Here is a 21,141-nt window from a genome sequence, read left to right as displayed (position 1 = left end):
GAAAGCCCTCGCCGGCCCAACAGATGGCGCCGGTGTCCGCAGTGCGCCTCCAGGCCCAAAGGGGGCGCTCTCGCCAGGCCTCTTTTTCCTCTCCTGGGTGACTCTTCCGCCTTCCGAGCCCGCCTTCTCGCCACGCACCTGCGTCAGCTCGCTCTGCGCGTGCGCCGGTGGCGGGACTCTGGGGAAAATGGCTGCGTCTTCGAGTGGTGAGAAGGAGAAGGAGCGGCTGGGAGGCGGTTTGGGAGTGGCGGGTGGTAACAGCACACGAGAGCGGCTGCTGTCTGCGCTTGAGGACTTGGAGGTCCTGTCTAGGTAATGCGGCGAGCCTGAGAGCCGGGCTGGAGCTGGGCCGGGGGACTGACCCCGGAGCCGGCCGGCCCTGCGTTTGTGCTCGTTCTCGGGGTTCGGCGGGGAGGGCCAGCTCGGGAGTTTCGGGTGCATGAGGGTCATGGACGTGGGGTCCGCAGCCCTCTGGCACTCTGGGCGGCGGTTTTTCCCGTTAGAGGGAATTTTAGTAATGATAAGAACTCGCGCGGTCTGAGCCTCTTCGTCCGCGGCCAGCCACTTAACATTTATGGAACGCTCCTTGGGGGCTCAGCATTGGGGAGACGGTAGTGAAGGGTAGACTGGATGCCAGCTGTCGAGAGAGAGACAGATGTGTAAACTGGCTTGGGGCCTGTTTTTATTAGAGGGCTGCGCTGCGGGGTACTGGAGCACAGGGACTAGGCACCTTTTTTGGTTGTAGTCAGGGCAGGCCCTCTGAAGAAAGTGCTGCTTGGGAAGCATGAGCTCGCCAAACTCACTAGGCAGCACAGATAGATGGAACAGCAAGTGCAAAAAGCCTGGCTTGGTGGAGTTGCAAGTTGTTTAGGATGGTTGTGTGTCAGAGATAGGAGATGAAATTAGATGTCGTTCTTCATATTCTGTCACCTTTCATGATAAGTCTTTCAAGTTGAAGCCTTCCTTGACTCCCTCCCATTGACTTGGATGGTAAATTATCTTGGTTCTACCTCCTAAAGTGTCGCTCCAATTTGCCCTCTCGTTCCAACCCCGCTGTTCATAACTCCTTCTTAAATGTAGCCTCCCAAACAGTTTTAATTGCCTCATGCTTCTGCACTTTATCCTTTTATATTGGCCGATACCAGTTTTAAAAGGCATCTTATATCACTTTTCTGCAGAAAAATTATATAAAAGCTACCTCATTGGTAGGTTTGCGTTGTCCAGTGAGGTAAAGTTCAAATTCTTTAGTCAGACTTCCACATCTTCAGTGCCATTCCCAGTCTACTCCCGATTTGGTGAATGATTCATATATCCTTCAGAATCCAGCTCAAATGTCACTTTTTCTATAGCCAACATTCTTTGACAGCTTTAGAATAAATCTTACCTGTTGTATTTTAAAATATACGTGATATAATCAGCACTTTATTTTTGGTGTAAATTTAGTCCTTGCCATCGTATTGCTACCAAGTTACCAGGTCAGCACAATATTTAATGATGGAAGAAAACCCGAAAACACCTAGACAGCAGAAATTAAATGGCTTATGTGTTTGATCCACTGTTTAAAATAAACTGTATTAGGGCCGGGTGTGGTGGCTCACGCCTATAATCCGAGCACTTTGGGAGGCCAAGGCGGGCGGATCATTGGAACTTCTTCACAGAATGAAGCTGCTCTGGTGGTGTGACTGGCTTCCAGAAAGGTCTCATGTGTTCACTCAGAGGTAGTTATGTGTACTGATTCTGTGATCTGTGAAGTTTGTCAGTCTCTGAATGTAATTTGTGTCTGGCTTGCATTTATGAAAATGAGAAGAAAAATCACGAATATACCTTACATATTTTTAGATTTAGCCTCTTTAAAAATAGTGGATTTATAACTTAGGATCTTTTTTTTTCTATTAACCTGATTATATAGCCTTTCGGGATATTTATTAGTTTATAAAATGTAATGCAAGGAGATAGTCTTAAAAAGTTGAAACACAGGTTGTAGGCTAAACGTTTTTTTTAACCCATTTGTAACTCAAAACTCATTGTTCCACAGAACCATGTTGATAGGAATCTTGAGTTTTCCACACCAGCCTGTTAATTCTGTTTACCTGAAAAGTGTATTACTGCTAATAATGTAGGCTCTAACCGCTATGGAAATTTTATTTCTATGGGGAATTGTGTCTGGATTCTAATGCAGTATGCTGGGAATGCACCTTCTTTTTAGCAGGACAGGGCTCTTGAGTGTGGGGGCTTCCTTTGGCCTCTTTTTCGCAGTTGGGGAGGACAGGGGTTTCTATTTTGTCCTGGACTGTTACAGAACATGACTAAGTCTTAGAGACTTCTACCTCCCCTCTACTCCGGCGCCTAAGGCAAGCCTTGTAAAGCCTTCTGTGGACTCACGCTCCCAGATTTGCAAGAACAGAGGAAGGCTTATCCCACATCTCCTACCATAGCCCCACTCTAGTCAGCACCACTCCTGCCCCACCTGAAACCAGCTTTTACTTAGACCAGAGGTTCTCAACCGTCTATGTCTCACTTGTGGCGTACACTAAAAAGTTTACTTAACATGCTGTTTTCATACGCTGTTGATCCATCAGCAAGTCCTGTTAGCTCTACCTCCAAAAGATATCTGAAATCTGTCCATGTTTCTCCCATCACGATTACTAAGTCCTGGAGGCTATAACCTCGTCAAAACCAGTGTCATTTTTTGCCTGGAACACTACAGAAACCACCTAACTTACTTCCTGTTCTGGCCCTCTTACAGTCTATTTACCAGATCACTCAACAGTTTTTAAAAGTATAAATCAGGTCATGCCATTTCCCTGTTTAAAATAACCCAGTGGCTTCTCATTGCATTTAGAATGAAACACTAGGCCGGGCGCAGTGGCTCATGCCTGTAATCCCAGCACTTTGGGAGGCCGAGGCCGGCGGATCACCTGTGGTCGGGATTTCGAGACCAGCCTGACCAACAGGGAGAAACCCCATCTGTACTAAAAAAAAAATACAAAATTAGCCGGGCGTGGTGGCACATGCCTGTAATCCCAGCTGCTAGGGAGGCTGAGGCAGGAGAATTCTTTGAACCCGGGAGGTGGAGGTTGGGGTGAGCCGAGATCGCGCCATTGCACTCCAGCCTGGGCAACAAGAGCAAAACTCCATCTCAAAAAATAAAAAATAAAAAAAGAATGAAACACTAATCTTTACCATAACTATAAGGCCCTACGTAATCTCACCCCTAGCCACCTGGCTGCTACATCCTCACTTTGCTTTCCTCTCCCCATTGTGCCAGGCCCTGGCTACACCTCCTCAGCTCCATCTTTGGGGCACTGAACTGTCTGTGTCTTCTACTGTGCTCTTTCCTTCCAGACATCTTGGCTGACTTCTCTCATTTAATCCGTGTCTTATGTCAAAGCTGTGCCCTTAGGAAGACCTTCTCTGACCACCCTATTGAAGTAGCCAACCCACTCCCCCAGTAGTCTCTAATAAAACATTGCTTTATTTCCTTCCCAACCCTTATCACTCTAGGTTTATTTCTTCTCTTAGTTCTTCTTGTCTCTTGTATTAGAATTTAAGTGCCATTGTTCACTTTGATACCCCAAGTATCTAGAAAGTGCCTGGCACATGATAGGCACTCAATAAATATTTGATGAATTAGTGAATAAATGAAGACTTTGCATTCTTATATCTACTTTTTTCATTCATTGATTAATTCATAAATAATGGTATGGGGAAGTAGTAGTGGGAAGGGTTGGGTCTAATTGACATGATCCAGAAAAATGATATGATGCTAGCTGGAAGGAAGGTGGAAATTTGAAGGTAAAAATAGCCTGGTAGCCAGTGAGAAAGTACAAATGCTCAGGCTGATCAGAGCAGTGTCAGGTAGCTAGTTGTGAAGCTGCCCCTTCTGCATAATTTCTCAAAAGTCCCATCTATCAACAAGTTTGAAACTAATATATAAACATTACCTGCTATACATTTTTCCCAATCTTATTTTGCTCATCAGATACTAATTTTCATACAGGGAAATTGTCATATTTATTAAATGAGCATTCTAAAAGGATATCATTTTATTATGTGTAAGGATCCCTCTTAGTTGATGTTTAATTTAAAAAATTCAAATAAAGTGGAGAATCATTAAAAAATGGTCCATGCATCCCTTAATTGTTTTATTTTACCTTAAAATATATAAACATATGTTCATTCACTAATCATGTTATGTAAGACAGGAGTCAGAAAACTTTTTCTGCAAAGGCCAGATAATAAATACTTTTGGGTTTATGGGCCATATAGTCTCTGCTGTAACAACTCAACTCTGCCTCTGTATTTAGGGAAAACTGCCATAGACAATTTGTATATTAATGGGCAGACTGTCTTAGGAAAATGTTATTTACAAAAACTGCAGAAGTGCTGGATTTGGCCTGTAGACCCCTGATGTATGAGTTTTTCTTGCATAAATCGCTCATAATGCATTGTCTGCAATTTGTAGTTTGATTTCTAGATCAAATCAAAATGAGAACTTATCCTCTTATCAAGCAGTCTTAGGGCAGACCCTTAGTTTTTATGACTTTTCCCTGGTCCTTTCTTTATAGCTGTCCTTTGCAAGCCTCTGTAGAGTCTTTCCAAGCATTAGGCTTAGGTTTTTATAGAAAGAACTCTCTCTATTCACAATAGTCTTTCATTGGCATTTAGGTGATAGCTATTTATATAATGATAGTATTAAGTAGAACTTTTATAAATAAGTTTGGTAACCGGCACAAGCGAGTCTTGGTGAGCTGTAGTTCACAGTCAATAGCGGACTGTAGGGAGTAGCCCTGAGTGTTCAGTATGCTGTGAAAGGGTTTTTGTTGTTGTTGGTTTTTTTTTTTTAGGGAACTTATAGAAATGCTGGCAATTTCAAGAAACCAAAAGTTGTTACAGGCTGGAGAGGAAAACCAGGTAAGTGGCTTCTTTTTAAATTAGTTAATTTCTCTTTGTTTTTTAATTAAAAGAAAAAAACTTGATTTCTGCAAGTTTCCTCTTTATATTTACTTTGTGTGGGAACAGGAATGTTGGATCCTTTTAAGTTATTAATTAAAACTTTAATATTGGTATTTTCTTTGTATCATTTACTTAAGATAACAGTGCGCTTAAGAAGAATAGTTGCCTGAGGGTTTAGCAGTATTTTGTTATTTTCTCTTACAATTCTAGTCACACTTACATGTTTATTTATTTTTGTCCTTTGAATTAACCAAGAAAGGCTTGTTGTATGGAGATTACAACAATATTTAGAATCAAAAGTTAATGCTCAAAAACTTACCGTGTATTGTAAGTATAGTTCCCTAATGCAACTTGAACATGCAGGGAAATAAAAGAGCATACAACTCTTATTAGACATTGCCTTATAGGGGTGAAAGTACGGGCAGTTTTTATTTGCTCACTTTTCGGTGCTTTCTAATTTTCCATGGTGGGTGAACAGACTTTTTTTCCTGATTCAGAATTTTTTTAGAGGTAAGAGGATAAATTTTATATTATGTTTTTGGCACAGTTTTTTCTTTTTTGAGACAAGTTCTCGCTCTGTAGCCCAGGCTAGAGTGCAGTGGCATGATGACTGCTCACTGCAGCCTCAACCTGCTGGACTGAAGCGATCTCCCACTTATCCTCACCAGTATCTGGGACTATAGGCATGCGCTATAATGCCTTGCTAATTTAAAAGAAATTTTTTTTTTTGGTAGAGACATAGTCTCACTGTGTAGCCCAGGTCAGTCTTGAACTGTCTTGAACTCCTGTCCTCAAGGGATCCTCCCCACCTTGGCCTACCAAAGTGCTGGGACTATAGGCATGAGCCACCATAGCTGGCCAAAAAAAATGTTTAAGAGAAAATGAATGGAGAGGATTAACCTTTCTAAAGATGATGTAAAGGAGAAGAGGAGACAGTAATAAATCTTTTGTCTGCATCATTACCTTAGTTCTGTCTTACGTTTTGAGGGCAGGGAAATCTGACGGACTCAATAGAAAAGTGTCAGTGAGCCTCAAAAGGGGAGGAGGGGATCCAGATGAGGCCACAAGCTAGGAGAAACAGCTAACCTTAGGGGTAGTAAGGTTTTTGTTTTGTTTTTTTTCAAAAAAGAAAGAGGCTAGAGATAAATATGTTAATAGAAGACTACTAGTCTCTCAGGTACTCTGTTAATACCCGTGGGATTAAATAGGAATTTATACAAAGTATGCAAGAAGTAAAATGCAAGGCTTGACTTTATTTGATAGACACTTATTAAATGCTTGCTATGAGCCAGGCACACAGATTATTCAGAAGGTGATAATTAAGACCTATAATCAGCACTGATCTTTCTTGCACTTTTTAAAGAGTAGCAATTTGTGAATTGTGTCTTAGTACTGTGGATTCCTATGTAATTTTCATTGAAACTGTTACTATTAGAGAGGGATGTGCCCATTTGAAAATTTTCTAGCCACCATTTTATTTGGATATTTATAATTTTATATAGAATTTTAGAATTAGAAAGGATCTTAACGATGTTCAGTTCAACCTCCTGTGAGAATAAGCTCCAGGGTGGACGGATGAGGTAGAGGTTAATGGTGAGTGGAACCAGAACCTAGGTCTTCTGACTTTAGTTGAATAATTTTTTTCTACTGAACAATAAGATCTAAAGAGAATATTTTTTACTCATGGGTAGTATACAAATTAATTCAACCTGTGTAAACTTCTTGAAAGTTGTCAGGGAACTACTGTGTACTACTTGCTTTAATAATACAGCTTTTATAGAAATGGAAACCTAGCTTTCTCCTACGATGTGGGAGGAATGAGGATTAGAAGTCTGTTAAATAAATAGAATATACTTTACTTTTTACAGAAAAAGCTTTCTGTTGTTATTTAAAATACTCTTAATATTTGGCAGTTTGTAGCTCAGTCTTTTGTCTATTGTATTAGAAGAATTCCTATAAAATGAGAAGAACTTCATGTCAAAAGGATCTTGAAGAGGCATACCTGTACTTTTTAGTCTTCAACAAATCTTTTTAAATAGTTTTAAAATTGATTCTGAATTTTGATAGATATTTTCTTTCTGAAGTAGTATTCTCTACTTAGCACAGTAAAGGATATTTAGACTAGACTTGCATCTTAATTCTGTACTGGGGTAGTGATCGTAATAACTAGCCTTTGCTGAACTCTTCCTGTATGTACTTAAAGTGCAATATATCATGAATCCTCACAATAGCTTCATGTAATGGCTACTATTAATATTATATTCCTTTTCCTATTAAGAACACAGGCTCAGAGAGGCTGGTAACTTTCCCTGTGTCACACAGCTAGCAGATGGAGGACTAGAGATATGAACCACCAGACTTTCTATTTTATGTGTTTTAGCCTTCATGGTTTTTGCCGTATCTGCATACCACTTGTTTGTTTACTGTTTTATGAAATCACTGTATTTTTTTTTTTTTCCTGAGACGAAGTCTTGCTCTGTCACCCAGGCTGGAGTGCAGTGGCGTGATCTGGGTTCACAGCAACCTCCGCCTCCTGGGTTCAAGCAATTCTTCTGCCTCAGCCTCCTGAGTAGCTGGGATTACAGGCATGTGCCACCACCCCCGGCTAATTTTTATATTTTTAGTAGAGACGAAGTTTCACCATGTTGGTTAGGCTGGTCTCAAACTCCTGACCTTGTGATCCGCCTACCTCGGCCTCCCAAAGTGCTGGGATTACAGGCATGAGCCACTGCGCCTGGCCGAAATCACCGTATTTTTAAGATCATCTTCATTGTAAACAATACTGTGCATAAACTCAGAGTTTCAGTGTCTCAGTTTTTTCTAATATATATTAGCACAAATGTGTAAGTGTAAAAGTTTTCTTAAGTTCTTGGTGCCACCTAAAATCATCTCAAATACCAAATTTTGGGAGAACTTTCATTATTTATATATACATATATATATTTGCGATGGAGTTTCGCTCTTGTTGCCCCGGCTGGAGTGCAATGGCGCGATCTCAGCTCACCGCAGCCTCTGCCTCCGGGTTCAAGCGATTCTCCTTCCTCAGCCTCCTGAGTACCTGGGATTATAGGCATGCACCACCACGCCCAGCTAATTTTGTATTTTCAGTAGAGATGGGGTTTCTCCATGTTGGTCAGGCTGGTCTCGAACTTTTGACCTCTGGTGATTCGCCTGCCTCGGCCTCCCAAAGTGCTAGGATTACAGGCGTGAGCCACCGCGCCTGGCCTATATTGTATTTTTAAGGATAAACTTTTTTTTTTTTTTGAGACAGTGTCTTACTCTGTCACCCAGGCTAGAGTGCAGTGGCGTGATCTTGGCTCACTGCAACCTCCACCTCCCAGGCTCATGCAATTCTCCTGCCTCAGCCTGCTGAGTAACTGGGATTTTAGGCGCCACCACACCCAACTAATTTTTGTATTTTTAGTAGAGATGGGGTTTCACCATGTTGGCCAGGCCAGTCTAGAACTCGTGACCTCAAGTGATCTGCCCGCATCAGCCTCCCAAAGTTCTGGGATTACAGGCATGAGTCACTGTGCCCAGCCATAAGGATAAACTTTAAAATCGTGTCTTCCCTAGGAAATCACTAAACTTGCTCATGTTGCCATATTGCTAGTTCTGAAAGGCTAGTTTTATTTTGTTTTGTATGAAAGAATATCTGAAAAAGTAGAAAAGTTTGATATTAATGTTTCCCAAAATAATCATAGGTAGGCTCTTTTTATTCTTAACAAGAATTAGGAATAAAATTTTGAAGGTGTTGAAATTTATAGCCTAGCCAATTCAGTTACGGATTCTTTGTTTCATTGGAATGCAGCCTTTCAGTAGTCTATTGTCTGATTTAATTGACTGTTATCTGACAGGTCCTGGAGTTGTTAATTCACCGAGATGGGGAATTTCAAGAACTAATGAAATTGGCACTTAATCAGGGAAAAATTCATCATGAAATGCAAGTTTTAGAAAAAGAAGTAGAGAAGAGAGACAGTGATATTCAGCAGCTACAAAAACAGCTAAAGGAAGCAGAACAAATACTGGTAAGTTGACAGAGGTTGGTTCTTAAGGTTAAAAAGGATGTTGTTTAATCTGTTTCTGAAAAATCTGTTATCAATATTTTGAAGAGCAGAAAACTAGACTTTCCAAGTCTAAAGGTGATATCTTGTCACTCACCATTGCCAGTGGTTAAATGAAAGGCTATTGTCATTCTCTTTTTTACTTACTGTTTTCAAATAGTCTGCATTACTTGTGAGCCACATTTTCGATGCTTAAAGATTTTACAGTATTGAATTATAGAAATGGAAAGTTTTACTTTTATCCTGGTCTGATATAAATTTTAATTATCAGTAGTCTAAATCTCTCTTTTTTTTTTTTTGGTCTCTGATCCTTAGCATAAAAATCAGGGAAATTTTTCATTTTTTATATATTTTGAAATCAATAAAAATATATACACATTTTATAAATTGATTAAAATTGACATTAATTTAGTCATTCATCCTCATCTAGGTAGGATTTGGACATAGATCAAGGATCCTAGTTTTCCCTTTGCTGTTCTTGGCTACTATTTCAAAGAGGCAACTTATTTGCTATTATTTGCCCAGTTACTTCACTAAATACTAACTAATATAACATGATAGTATTGCAGAAATAGCTGAGCTTGATTCTCATGTCGACCAGACATTGCTGGCATCCTTACCACTGATTAATCTCTTAACAAATGTATTAAAATGAGCTCCAGTAACTAGAAGCCTGGGCAGTTCAGGGTAAATTAATCACCTCTACTAAGGAAACAACTCACTAGTAAATAGTTTTTAAAAATATATTAAAATCAGGCCGGGCATGGTGGCTAATGCCTGTAATCCCAGGGCTTTGGGAGGCCAACGCAGGTGGATCGCGAGGTCAGTCTGTGATTGAGACCAGTCTCAGTTCGAGACCAGTCTGGCCAACATAGTGAAACCCTGTCTCTATTACAAATACAAAAAATTAGCCAGGTGTGGTGGTGTGTGCCTGTAATTCCAGCTACTCAGGAGACTGAGGCAGGAGAATCGCGTGAACCTGGGAGGCATAGGTTGCAGTGAGCTGAGATTGCGCTATTGTATTCCAGCCCAGGCAACAGTGCAAGACTCTCAAAAAAAAAAAAAAAAAAAAAAATTAGCTGGGCACAGTGGCTCACACTTGTAATCCCAGCACTTTGGGAAGCCAAAGTGGGCAGATCACCTGAGGTCGGGAGTACAAGACTAGCCTAGTCAACATGGTGAAATCCATCTCTACTAAAAATACAAAAAAATTTAGCTGGGCATGGTGATTCACGCCTGTAATCTCAGGTACTTGGGAGGCTGAGGCAGGAGAATCTCTTGAACCCGGGAGGCAGAGGTTGCAATGAACTGGGATCACCCCACTGCACTCCAGCCTGGGCGACAGAGGGAGACTCTGTCTCAAAATATATTATTTATATGTTTGTATATATTATATATATATTAAAATCTGTAAATATGTATATAAAAATCCTTATGTATGTAATACTTGCTTATCAAACAAAATTCAGAAAATACAGAAAAATGGAAAGAAGAGGGAAAAAATTGTCTTTAGTTCAGCTGCGGAAAGAATGCCACTATTCATAGTTTGGTCTATTTCCTTTGAGTCTCAGGTGTATTAATTTTTTAGGTAATTGTAGTTAGCAGGATACTAACAGACTTTCAATTACTGTTTATTGAAACTTAAGCATTTTTCATATAATTGTATCCACTTTGTTTGATTTTCCCACTTTGTGTTATAAATAATTAAAGACAGTGAACACAGGACCATAAAACTGAATTTCATGACTTAAATAGTAGTAACTAACATTGATTGAGCACTTAGGCACCAGGCCCTGTGCCTTGCATTTTATATGCATTACTTCCATCTTCCTAACAGTTTATATCAAGTCAGTGTCGTCATTTAGAGGAAGAAACCAATACTTTAATAACTAACTTGCCCATGGAGGCTAAAAAGTAGATTGAATTTAAACCTTGATCTCTCTGACTCCATACTCTTTTTTTTTTTTTTTTTTTTTTTTTGAGACAGAGTCTTGCTCTTGCTCTATTGCCCAGGCCAGAGTGCGATGGCACAGTCTTGGCTCACTGCAACCTCTGCCTCCTGGGTTCAAGCGATTCTCCTGCCTCAGCCTCCCAAGTAGCTGAGATAGGCGTGTGTCACCATGCCCATATAAATTTTTTGTATTTTTAGTAGAGATGGGTTTTTACCGTGTTGGTCAGGCTGGTCTCAGACTCCTGATCTCAAATGATCTGCCTGCCTCGGCCTCCCAAAATGCTGGGATTACAGGTGTGAGCCATTGTGCCTGGCCTGACTCCATACTCTTAACCACAGTGTCATAGTCGAAGATATGCATATACTAGGTTAACTTCATTTTGTCCTTTAGTGTACCTGAGGGCTTGGAGGGAGTGTTTTTGTGATAAAGTCATTAAACATTGAGCTGATATATAAACGAATAAGAATATGAATTCAAGGTTGTATCTTCCAAACTAGGGGAAAAAAGGGTATTTTATTCTTGAACTAGTTGCAAGAATAGGATGCTTTTGGGGTCGTCCATAGTCTGGGTGTCTTCTGCATGTTTATGGTAGAAGACGTGAAGAAAAAGACAATCCAATTTATGTTTTGTTTCTACAACTAATTTGTGAATGGGAGACTAGTTCATAAATATAATATTTCTTTCATTAAATATGACTGAAATAAATAATGTCAAGTGGTATTTCAGAACATTACAAATAAATTGTTGGGATTTCCAAGTTTCAAAGATTGTTCTTGTAGGCTAAAGGATCTTGTGAATTAAGCCAAAAACTAAGTTTGATATAGTTGAAGAATAAACCACGTTTTTTAAATGTTGTTTAAATTAGGCAACAGCTGTTTACCAAGCGAAGGAGAAACTCAAGTCAATAGAAAAAGCAAGAAAAGGTTAGTATCATGGGAAGACTGAATGACCTGAAAAGTTAAGGTTCTGGTTTCAGGAAACCAATACAAGAGGATATTACTGATAATCATTTGCTGCTGTTGAAAAGATTCAGTAAATTTTTATTGTAAAGTGTGTTGTGTTCTAGCATTGTGCTGGGTTTTGTGAGGGAGGTAGAAGTATCACATCTTTTTTCAGATTATAAAAAGCAATTAATACAAGGCAGTTTATGGCTGTGTGCCCAAATGTGCAGTAAAAACAGTGAGTTTATAAAATTGGTGGGAGAGGGAAAGAGAAGTATGGGTTAGAAGTGGGATTTGTACCAAATCTTGAAGGTTAGGACAGAGAGAGTGAAAAGACATCCATTGGGCAACTGCGCTGGGACTGAAACATCATGAAGTCAGAGCCAGACGTACATGAAGTCAGAGCCAGTTATACCCTTGGCATATAAGCACATTTGGTGGTGCAGAGGCCCACATGCCTTCCTGCCCTGCTGTCCCTTTTTCAAAGGCTTCTGTTAAATAGCTAATACTCCTTTTTTTTTTTTTTGAGACGGAGTCTCGCTCTGTCGCCCAGGCTGGAGTGCAGTGGCGCGATCTCGGCGCACTGCAAGCTCCGCCTCCCGGGTTCACGCCACTCTCCTGCCTCAGCCTCCCGAGTAGCTGGGACTACAGGCGCCCGCCACCACACCCGGCTAATTTTTTGTATTTTTAGTAGAGACGGGGTTTCACTGTGTTAGCCAGGATGGTCTTGATCTCCTGACCTCGTGATCTGCCCACCTCGGCCTCCCAAAGTGCTGGGATTACAGGCATGAGCCACTGCGCCCAGCCAAATAGCTAATATTCTTTTGAGAGTTAGGTTAGGCTTCTGTAGCAAGAAACAAATCTCTAGGAGAGATGGCTGAGGCTGGCTGTTGACTTCTAGACCGTTGTTTGATTCTGTTTTTAATCTTCAAAAACTGTACACACATACACTTTGTTACATTGAAACAGTATCTAAAGTTTGTAAAATGAAGTGTGTGGTTCTCACTTCTCAGAGGTAACTATTAATGTTTGGTATATGTCCTAGATTTTTTTTTTCTAGATCTGTGAGTATGTATGTAATAAAAATACAAATACACATATGTACATACATTTTGAACAGTCGGGTCATACCGTACATATTATTTAGCAGTTTAGTTTTTTTTTTTACCTAATGAATACATTGTAGACATCTTTCTATTTAGGTCTACTTAAGAGCCTTAGGGCATATTGATCGAACAGAGTGGTGTGAACTGTCTGCTCTGATTTCATAGCTTGGATGTCTTTGAGAAATGAAACACTGTTTTCTCTATTTTATTTGTGCTCACTATGCTTTCAGAAGAGGAATGGTATTTAACGGTAGTTAATAATTGAGATTATTGAGTGCTATGGTGCTAATCTCCGAAATTTGTTTATGTCAGCTAATTTTTCTGGATTAGTGTCCTGTTTTTGGAGATTTAAGTTTATACTAAACATGTAGGTATTGTTAAGGAAGGCAGGTGACTGAGATTATTTTATTTTCAGATAATTTAAAATTAAATACGATGTGTAACTGATAGATACATTTCTAAACTTGTATGTTTGTTAGACTACAGGTTATACTGTCCTCTTAAAACTCTTTCAGGTGCTATCTCCTCTGAAGAAATAATTAAGTATGCACATAGGATCAGTGCAAGTAATGCTGTATGTGCTCCACTGACCTGGGTTCCAGGTAAACATACTCGTCTTATTATACTAGATATATGTGGTTTTGAAGATTCTTAGGTGACTATGTACAGACATAGATTTAATTTAAAATGTATTTATCCTTAGAAACCTCTGCCACATATTTTCACATCTTTAATGGTTTATAAGTAATGATATAGGCCATGGGTTTTATAAATTTGGTTTTCTGTGAAGCCATTGTTGCTAGGGACTGTGTTTCTTTCGTCTTTTGAAATAATAAATTGATAATTTTTTAAAGTACGAGATAATAATGTGATGCTTCTAAAGCTTTGGATTTATATACCATTTTATCAGGGCTGGCCAGAAGCAAACTCTTTAGAGCCATTAGGATTTCCACAAAGGTTCCAGCCTGAGAAAGACAATTCCAGTTCTCTTAGATGCTAAAGACAAAGCACTACGCACCCAACAGTGAACATACAGGCTTGGAAAGAGCTGGGATAATTAGACAGCAAAAGAGAGGATCAAGCTGCAACTATATTGACAGTGGATGAAACATAAAACAGGAGACGTAAGGTAGCAGCCTTATTGGAGGAAGGGGAAATATTAGTAGTTATCTCCACTTCAAAATAACTTCTGAAGGTGCTGTGTTACCATGCTGAAAGCACTAAGGGTGACTATAATTTTGGGGATGGATAAGCTGCAGTTGGTGAGATGTGCCCAAAAAGTCAATCCAAATCTGGTCAAGTTTTTGTCAACCACATACTGCTATTTAGTGTGCTTTCATGTTTGGGATGGACATTACCTGCTCCTGCTATTTTGCCACTTACACGAATTAGTTTCTGAATTACAAGATCAAAGAGGTTGGTTAGAAAAAGGTTTTATCTTAGACAAGGTGGCATGAGGAAAATAAAAGTAAAACAAAAAGATGAAAAATGTAAAAAAAAAAAAAGATTTTAAATTGAGACAGTCCTTCTATTAAACATTCCAGTCCTTTCTGTCTTATAAGTGTCATGATTTTTTTCTCCCTTGCAGCATAATCATTGTCATTTTCTTGCTAGAAAATACAGTTAAGTTTGAATAATTGAGATTATTATAATTTTCTTAAGTTGTCATCTGGAATGTCTACAAAAAAATGACATCTCTTTTTTTTTAAAGTGTAGAAAATAGTATATTCTTGGGAAGATTCAGAAAAGAAATTAAAATGCGTGTATTTTAAAAAGTAATATGCTATTAATAACAATTTATAAGGTGACTTTTATATTTCTTTCTTTCTTTTTTTTTTTTTTTTTTTTTTGAGACAGGGTCTTGCTCTGTGGCCCAGGCTGGAGTGCAGTGGTGCAATCTCAGCTCACTGCAACCTCTGCCTCCCGGGTTCAAGCGATTCTCCTGCCTCAGCCTCCCGAGTAGCTGGGATTATAGGTGCGTGCCACCACGCCTGACTAATTTTCTTATTTTTAGTAGAGACGGGGTTTCACCATGCTGGCCAGGCTGGTCTTGAACTTCTGACTTGAGGTGATCCACCCACCTCGTCCTCCTAAAGTGCTGGGATTACAGGCGTGAGCCACTGCACCTGGCCAGATGACTTCTGTATTTCAAAATTGAAAATGTAGCCTGAACTTTTCAGCATGAACCAGCGAAAATGAGTATGTCAAATAACATATTAACACTTATTTTTTAAAATATGATTGAATTAAATGCAGTCTTTATTGTTTTAGGGGACCCCCGGAGACCCTACCCAACTGATTTAGAGATGAGAAGTGGGTTACTGGGTCAGATGAACAATCCTTCCACTAATGGCGTGAATGGCCATTTACCAGGAGATGCACTTGCAGCAGGAAGATTGCCAGGTAATGTTAAGCCGAAGAGTGTTTTCAAACAGATCAGGGTTTTCCAGAGATGACAAGGTTGGAATATCTGGCGGTAAAGCAAGTTTGAGATTCCCGACACAATTTTTTTTTTTTTGTAAATTTGAGACAGTCTTGTTATGTCACCCAGGCTGGAGCGTGTTGGCGAAATCTTGGCTCCCAGGTTCAAGTGATTCTTGTGCCTCAGCCTCCCGAGTAGCTGGGATTACAGGTGTGTGCCACCAGGCCTGGCTAATTTTTGTATTTTTAGTGGATATGGGGTTTCGCTCTGTTGGCCAGGCTGGTCTCGAACTCCTGACCCCAAGCAATCACCTGCCTCAGCCTCCCAAAGTACTGGAATTACAGGTGTGAGCCAGTGTGCCTGCCTCTCAGACCCAGTTCATTGTAATAGCTAGATTCTTTGCCGGTTTATTCTGCTCTAAAGATTCTCCTTGAGGGAGGTATGAAATTAGAACAAGCTGCCTTTCTCTTATTTGTAAATATTACACTGTCTTCCTCAGGCATTTGGCCTCTCTTTTTAAATTATTGCTCTAAACATAGCTTTTTTATAATTGTGAAACATGCTATGTAAATAGAGTAAGATAGTTTACGGAATAAAGTGAACACACTCCTGAACAACCCCCAAGTTAACAAAATGAATAACAATAGCTTTTTATAAACTTTTATAACTTTATAAAATAGTATTTCTGTGAGACCCAGTTCATTCTGAGCTTCAGTTTTCCTCAAGTTTTTCATAGGTTTGTGCTATTTTTATATATATTTGTTTTATATTATTCCTCATCTTTTATAGTTTGTAGGTGACTTTTGTTTTGATGTGGTAGAACATTTGGGAAGTAGAAAAAGGCATTTAAAAAAGGAAAAAAATATACCCTTTCTGAGGCAGTCACTTTAAATATTTTAGCCTGTTTCCTTTTTTCCCCTATACATTTTTTGCTTAATGTTACATCATAAGGCTGTCCCTGTGTCATTAATAATGCTTTGTATGCATCATTTTTGTTAGCTACCTAAAGTACAACCAGGGGAACTCAACTGTGATATCCTTGGATATCACCTCATATTTCTCATGTTTTAAAAGTACAGGAAAAACAGATATGGGGAGTCACTGCCACATTTTGGACCAAGGAAGGGACAGACCTAAAAACAGTCTTCCCCAGCTCCATCCCAAGGCCGATACTCTCATATCATGGTGCTGTCATTGGAGAGGGTGCAGTGTAATGTGGCCCACTCCATGGCAGAGAAGTTAGATGAGGCATCAGAGGCCAGAGCTGGCAAGCAGGAAATTACCCACTGGGGTTCCAGGGAGACTTGCTGGGAAGCTGCCCTTTGGGATTCTGGTGAAACCTGCTAGGAAACCACCTTTAGAGGCGCCACCGAAAGTTGCTGTGGTGAACACCACTTAATGTCCTGCACACCAACCAGGCATCACAGCAGTAAAGGAGACAAAACCACCTGATCCAGGAAGTGAAACTTGTTTGCTAGTGGAGTCCCACCTGTGCCCTCTACTGACAAAACTTAATTGTGGCAGCTGGCAAAGGAGAAATGGTTTCAGGGGCCAGAGAGAAGGGTAGATTTGAGGCTAACTGGCATACCTTTCTAGTTAATACCATAACTCTTTCTTTTGACCCTTTAAAAATCTGCCTTCTTTATTTGAGTCTTGAACTATACCTGTTTATGTGCTCTGTCCCTTTGCTTCAGAAATACAGACTTTAAATGTAACTTGGGCCCTTTTTTAAGGTATTTCATATGCATACATTGCTAATCAACCTCTCTTTGATGAGAGTCACTTACAATAGCAGTTCCTCTATCAAGAAATCATTCAAATCTATTATAATACTAAAGTACCTATTACTTGTTTATAATATGTAGAATAATCTACATAACCTAGTATACATAAGTATGTATTATATATGCATATAATAGATACATAGATACAGGAAAAATTTGTAATTACAAATGTCTTACAAAAGAAAAATTATGTCAACTGACTAAATAGTTTCTTACAGAGTAGTATGATTTTTTTAAAAAAGTCCCCAGTTGCTAAAATATCAACTTTTCCTTGATAAATTTGATTTTTATTAATTTGGCTAAATGTGTATTTTTTTCCTAGTCTTAAAAAAATTGGCACAATAGCTTATGCCTGTAATCCCAACACTTTGGGAGGCTGAGGTAGCAGGATAGCTTGAGCCCAGGAGTTGGAGACCAGCCTGGTTAACATAGTGAGACCTCATCTCTACAAAAACTTTAAAAAGTACTCAAGCATGGTGGCACATACCTGTAACCCAGTTACTCAGGAGGCTGAGGCAGGAGGATTGCTTGAGCCTAGGTCAGGGCTTCAGTGATGTATTCGTGCCACTGCACTCAAGCCTGGGTGACAGAATGAGACCCTGTGTCAAAAAAAGAAGAGAAAAAAGTAAAATTAAAAAAAATACTTCAAATTGTTGCATAAAGGGAAAAGTAAGAACTAGATTAATTACAGATAGAGCTGTTCTTATCTATGCTTCTTTTTTTCTCCAGATGTCCTTGCTCCACAGTATCCATGGCAGTCAAATGACATGTCGATGAATATGTTACCACCAAATCATAGTAGTGACTTTTTGTTGGAACCTCCTGGGCATAATAAAGAAAATGAAGATGATGTAGAGATTATGTCAACGGACTCCTCAAGCAGTAGTAGTGAGTCTGATTGAAAAACCTTAAAAGACAATATACAGAATTGAATACTGTAGAATTCTGTTTCTTTAACAGTAGCAGGGAAATGTAAACTACAGGTGACAAAAAATACCCAGGTAAACACTGGCTTTGGTAGAATTGTGCAGTCATTAAAAGTCAAAATTTTTTGACTTTCTTTTTAAAGCCAAAGACCATAGTTTTAGTTTTAAGCCACTAGGTAGATATTTAGGGGAATAGTCAAAATTTACTGTTGAAAAAGCAGTTGCTATGTGCTTTCTTACCCTGTTCTGTTCCAGTTTTGCTGGATTTGTACATAGCCATTCTAGAAATAGAGTTGAGGGAAATTATCCATATACATATCACTAATAGGCTTCTTGGAATTATTTAGAAAAGCATTTTTAAACTGGCAGTGGATGACTGAATAGGCATCATATTTCTTTTTGTGTGTCATTTAAAAGTAACAAAAACTGCCATTTGACAGTAAAGGCTCTTGGCTTCTGTTGGAGGCATGGGAAATTGTCTCAATTTGTACAGTTTGTAATTGTAATTTTTGTAAATAAATTTGTTTGTACATTGTATGCTTTTTTTTTAGTTTAAATATACTGTCAGTGTAGGTAGGAAATTATTTCTGTAAATCCAGTTGCATTTTATAATACTTGAGTGACTAACTGAATTGAAACCTATTACAATTAATAGGGTTCTCAAAGGCCTATTCCTATTAGAAGAAATAATTTTTTTTAATAATTGAAAAAATTTACCACAGCCTTGTCTGATTTTAAGAATAGATTGTGTGAAGATTTAGAATGGAAAGCAACCATTTCTTCCCTTCACCTTCCTCTTCTTACAGTTCCCCAGGAGTCATTTTTAACCACTTTTAATTTCTGTTGGTAACCTCTGTGTTTAGGTAATATGCTTATACAACTATTTCTTGATGTATCAGTTTTAGACAATGTATCTTCTGATTTCAAAGGTAATACAACATTTAATGTGAAACATTTAGTGAATACAGTAAAGGAGAAAATAAAATTGTTAGCATTCTACCCAGAGATAATATCAATTCATATTGTAGTGTAGATTTTTTTAAAGTTCACATACACTTTTTTGTAAAATGAGAATAATGTTTATTTCCTGAGATACTGCTGTATTTTTTAATTGCTAATCTGTATTCTTCAAATGAACTGAGAATTCCATTTTTCCATCATTTTTTCCTTTTGATTATTTTCGATCTCTAGAAAAATTGGAAAATAGGAGATTAATCTTATATTTTCACCATCTAGAATTAAGGACATACAATGTTTGAATGTCTTTCCCTCCAGGGTTATTTTTAGGAATGGACTAACACAATATCTAATTTTAACCTTGCCTTGTCCGTATACTAGGAATATTGATCCATGTGTATACATTCTTGAAAGATTTACTTTAATGGCTAAAATTTTATTGTGGTATGTGCCATAATGTAACTGCCTGTTTTTATCACCAAATCTTTAGGGTAGATTCAAAAGGATTGTGTTTTTCAAATTCTTTAATACTGTATTAGTTTTCAGTTGCTGCCGTAACAAATTACCACAAACTTGGCTCAAAACAACACAAATTTATCTTAGTTTTGTACATCACAAATGTGAAGTGGGTCTCACCTAAAATCAAGGTGTGAGCAGGGCTGCATTCCTTCCTGGAGGCCATAGGGGAGAATCTGTCCCCTGTGTCTTCCAGGTTTTAGAGGCCGCCCTTGGTCCTGCTCCAGGCCCCTGGTTGGTGAGTGTTTCTCATTCTGCATTACTGTGATGCTCTTCTGCCTACCTGTCCCATATTTAAAGGATCCTGTGATCATTCTGAGCCCACTGGATAACCCAGAATAATCTTCTTATTTAAAGTGAGATGATTAGCAACCTTTATTCTGTTTGCAACCTTAATTCTTCCTTGCCATGTAACAAAACAACATTCATAGGTTCTGTAGATTGGGATTTAGACATCTTTGGGGAAAGGGGGTCATTATCCAGCCTATCAGAAATAATCCAAACTTTTCCCCTGAAAATTACACAAATATACATTCTATCAGTACTAAGTCAATATCATAAGTCTATATATTTCTGAATTTTTTTTTTTTTGGAGACGGAGTCTTGCTCTGTCACCCAGCCTGGAGTGCAGTGGCTCTATCTCGGCTCACTGCAAGCTCCACCTCCTGGGTTCACGCCATTCTCCTGCCTTAGCCTCCTGAGTAGCTGGGACTACAGGTGCCCACCACCACGCCTGGCTAATTTTTTTGTATTTTTAGTAGAGACGGGGTTTCACCATGTTAGCCAGGATGGTCTTGATCTCCTGACCTCGTGATCCACCCTCCTCAGCCTCCCAAAGTGTTGGGATTACAGGTGTGAGCCACTGCGCCCAGCCTGAAAAATTTTTTTAAAGGTTTTTGTGTGTGTCCCAGTAGATGCCCTTAAAATAACTGCCTCTGGAAATGATGTCTATAAAAGGTCATAAACTCAAATTTATCTTCAGAGACGAGGCCACTCACACAAATGTAAGGAGTTGGCTAGATATTACTTAACAGGGAGTGGTAGAAATTTTGGCCAAAACTAGAGTGTATGCCCAGGCTTTTAAAATTAGATTATATAAACTGTGGGACAAATCTAGCCCAAAAGTGCCTGTTTTGTTTGTTTGTTTCTTTGTTTTTCCAGAGATGAGGTCTTACTTTGTTGCTCAGGCTGTTCATGAACTCATGGCCTCAGGCAATCCTCTTGCCTTAGCCTCTCAGAGTTCTGGGATTACAGGCCACCATGCTGGGCTCAGAAGTACCAGTTTTTGATCTTGGTATAACTTTGTGCAGTTGTCGCTTTGGGAAGCTAGAGTGAGATCTGCCTAAGAATTATGTATTCTGAGGTTGTGAGTGGACAAATCCATCCCTCAGCTGCATCAGCAGTTATTTTTAAGTGGTAAAGGGAAACACCTTGGGGATAAAAACAAAGGGTAGAGGAAGAAAAACATTTGCAAAGCCACACTTCTGTAGGCAGATTTCTAAATTTGTTCATAGGAA

The 21,141-nt window shown here is 39.1% G+C and overlaps 1 protein-coding gene and 1 long non-coding RNA gene across 3 annotated transcripts, besides 1 other annotated feature; one reads left to right on the top strand and one right to left on the bottom strand.

Moving 5' to 3' along the window:
- The first annotated feature begins 161 nt into the window (after positions 1 to 161).
- On the top strand, positions 162 to 19,542 carry MED4 (mediator complex subunit 4). 2 transcript variants are annotated; one of them, NM_001270629.2, is made up of 7 exons: positions 162 to 206; positions 4,848 to 4,914; positions 8,814 to 8,984; positions 11,838 to 11,895; positions 13,535 to 13,621; positions 15,291 to 15,422; positions 17,955 to 19,542. In NM_001270629.2, exons 2-7 carry the CDS (start codon positions 4,861 to 4,863, stop codon positions 18,125 to 18,127), a joined length of 675 nt encoding a protein of 224 aa, NP_001257558.1. In that variant the 5' UTR covers positions 162 to 206; positions 4,848 to 4,860; the 3' UTR covers positions 18,128 to 19,542. The 2 variants fall into 2 exon arrangements, with proteins under 2 accessions (NP_001257558.1, NP_054885.1); NM_014166.4 differs by having other exon boundaries at positions 162 to 312.
- Positions 659 to 953: a silencer, noted in NCBI's record as "tiled region #5997; K562 Repressive non-DNase unmatched - State 2:TssF". NCBI's record gives its function as "represses a minimal TATA promoter and a strong SV40 promoter by Sharpr-MPRA in K562 cells {active_cell/tissue: K562}" and the evidence as "EXISTENCE:reporter gene assay evidence [ECO:0000049][PMID:27701403]".
- On the bottom strand, positions 15,273 to 18,129 carry MED4-AS1 (MED4 antisense RNA 1). The gene is made up of 3 exons (NR_046511.1): positions 17,915 to 18,129; positions 17,713 to 17,824; positions 15,273 to 15,489 (listed from the first exon to the last, which is right to left on the bottom strand). It is a non-coding gene; the product is annotated as an MED4 antisense RNA 1 (long non-coding RNA).
- Positions 19,543 to 21,141: the final 1,599 nt, after the last annotated feature.

Source organism: Homo sapiens, chromosome 13 (assembly GCF_000001405.40).
Source record: "Homo sapiens chromosome 13, GRCh38.p14 Primary Assembly".
Lineage (NCBI taxonomy): Eukaryota > Metazoa > Chordata > Mammalia > Primates > Hominidae > Homo > Homo sapiens.
The sequence above is the reverse complement of the archived record's forward strand: the minus strand, read 5'-3'. Positions and strand labels throughout refer to the sequence as shown.

Bases quoted from the DNA above. Each gene is read 5' to 3' on its own strand.
- MED4 (NM_014166.4), top strand. From the start codon at position 188: ATGGCTGCGTCTTCGAGTGGTGAGAAGGAGAAGGAGCGGCTGGGAGGC. The intron at 313-4,847 runs GTAATGCGGCGA...TTTTTTTTTTAG, and splicing joins GACTTGGAGGTCCTGTCTAG to GGAACTTATAGAAATGCTGG. The intron at 15,423-17,954 runs GTAATGTTAAGC...TTTTTTCTCCAG, and splicing joins TGCAGCAGGAAGATTGCCAG to ATGTCCTTGCTCCACAGTAT.